The following is a 2,734-nucleotide window of genomic DNA, read 5'->3' as shown; positions in this document are numbered from 1 at the left end:
AAAAACCACTGAATTGCACACTTTATCTTTTTTATTTTTGAGACAGGATTTCACTCTGTCTCCCAGGCTGAAATGCAATGGCACAGTCTCAGCTCACTGTGACCTCTGCCTCCCAGGTTCAAGCTATTCTCCTGCTTCAGCCTCCCCAGTAGCTTCTTGCTATTAAGTTGTTTGAGTTCCTCATGTATTTTGGGTATTACTCCCTTACAGATGTGTGGTTTGCAAGTATTTTCTCCCAATCTGTGGGTTATCTCTTCCCTAGTCTTTTTGATGTGCTCTCTGGTATTATAGCTTAGTCTACACTCATTCAGCGCAATCCTTGCCCAGTCCTGGAATCAGCCATTTCTGCAAGGGAGTCAGATTTTTTTTTAAGGGGAAATGTTGCGAGAGTTAATAATCTGAGTACTAGAGTTGCTCATTACTACTGAGTTGGTCATTGTTTCTTGTCCTTTTCAGTGCATGGAGGCAGTAAATATGTATTATATTTTTAGGAGAATACACATTATCATCTTCCATCTTGGGCTGCTCCTCTGTCCCCTTATAGGTAATCATTTTTATCTTTTTGTGTTTGTTTGTTTTAGCCTTCCAGTTTTAAAAAATATCAGCAAGTGGCCGGGTGCAGTGGCTCACGCCTGTAATCCCAGCACTTTCGAGGCTGAGGTGGGTGGATCACGAGGTCAGGAGATTGAGACCATCCTGGCTAATACGGTGAAACCCCGTCTCTACTAAAAATACAAAAAATTAGCCGGGCGCGGTGGTGGGCGCCTGTAGTCCCAGCTACTCGGGAGGCTGAGGCAGGAGAATGGTGTGAACCCGGGAGGCGGAGCTTGCAGTGAGAGGAGATCGCGCCACTGCACTCTAGCTTGGGCGACAGCGCAAAACTCTGTCTCGACAAAAAAAAAAAAATATATATATATATACACATATATGTATATATATGTGTATATATATATGTATATATATGTGTATATATATGTATATATATGTGTATATATATGTATATATGTGTATATATGTATATATGTGTATATATGTATATATATGTATATATATGTATATATATGTATATATATGTATATATATGTGTATATATATATCAGCAAGTATAACATATATGTGACTTTTCTCCCCCCTTTCATAGGTAAAAGGTGGCATATTCTACATCCTCACTGTGCAATATACATTTCTTCAGAGCTAGTAATCTGTGTCTGCACTGTCCAAAACAGTAGGCACTAGTTACCTGAGTGTTTTATTGAGGAATTAAAGATTGAGTGCATACAATGCATCTATTGTCATGGAGTAACTGAATCTCTAATTTAATTTTAATTAAATTAAGATATCTCCTTGTGGCTAGTAGCTAACGTATTATTGCACAGCAGCAGTGCTACGTATTTTTCTGCACCTCACTTTATTAATTTAACAATATATCCTAGGCCAGGTGCGGTGGCTCAGGCCTGTAATTCTAGCACTTTGGGAGGCTGAGGCAGGTGGATTGCCTGAGCTCCGGAGTTCGAGACTAGCCTGGGTAACATGGCAAAACCTCGTCTCTAGAAAAAATACAAAAATTAGGCAGTTATAGTTGCATGCACCTTTAGTCGAAGCTACTTGGGGAGCTGATGCGGGAGCATTGATTGAGCCTGGGAGGTCGAGGCTGCAGTGAGCCAAGATCGTGCCACTGCATTCCAGCCTGGGTGATAGAGTGAGACCCTGTGTCAACAACAACAACAACTATCTATCTATCTATCTGTCTGTCTATCTCTCCTAGAATCTATTGCATAGCAGTACAGAGAAGAAGTCTTCATTGCTTTTTACAGCTGCATAGTACTCTAAGATATTGATGTACTGTAAGATTTTTAACTAGCCACAACTCTTATTCATGGACATTTTGTTTCTACTCTTCTGCTATTATGAATTGTTCTGCAGGAATGGCTTTCTGTTTATGCTTTTATGTTTTGTATTTTATTTTATTTTACTGTATTGTTTCTTTGGGACAGATTCTTAGAAGAGAGATTGCTGGTTCCAAGAGCAAATACCTATATAATTTAACTAGATAGTATCAAATCTCCTGGTTAGGGGTTATATCATTTCATATTGCTGATGCAGGGAAGGTGAGCCCCAATTGGGACCTTGCCCGGGAGATTCTTGGCTTCAACCAGGAAAGAATTCAAGAGCAAGCCGGTGGTAAAAGAAAACAGTTTATTTGAGGTGGCAGTGTTACAGCTCCATGATTGCCCCAGCAGAGCAGGGCTACCTCATTACCTCATAGGCAGTGTGTCAACAGTAGCAGCTCAGAGGCAGTTTTGCAGTCCTATTTATACCCACCTTTAGTTACATGCAAATTAAGGGGCATGTCATGTATAAATTTCTAGAAAAAGGGTGGTAACTTCTGGGCCTTTGGGTCGTTGCCATGGAAAGGGATAGTAACTTCTGGGTGTTGCCATGGCAATGGTAAACTGACATGGTACACTAGTGGGCATGTCTTCTGGAGAGGTGCTTCTGCCTCTTCCCCATTTTAACAGGTCCCCAATTTGGCCTGGTGTTCCAGCCCTGCCTCCGAGTCAAGTCCTACCTCCTACCTCATTACCACCAGCAGTGCTTGTGAATGCTATGTAATTGATGAGAAGAAGCATTTCATCTTATTTTCTTTGCATCTCTTATCAAGAACTAGGTTGAGCAATTGAGCATTTTTGTGTATTTTTGGAGTCTTTAATTTGTATGGATATATATTAGTTGT

The sequence above is a fragment of the Homo sapiens genome, chromosome X (genome assembly GCF_000001405.40).
Source record: "Homo sapiens chromosome X, GRCh38.p14 Primary Assembly".
Lineage (NCBI taxonomy): Eukaryota > Metazoa > Chordata > Mammalia > Primates > Hominidae > Homo > Homo sapiens.
Note: the sequence above shows the minus strand (reverse complement) of the source record.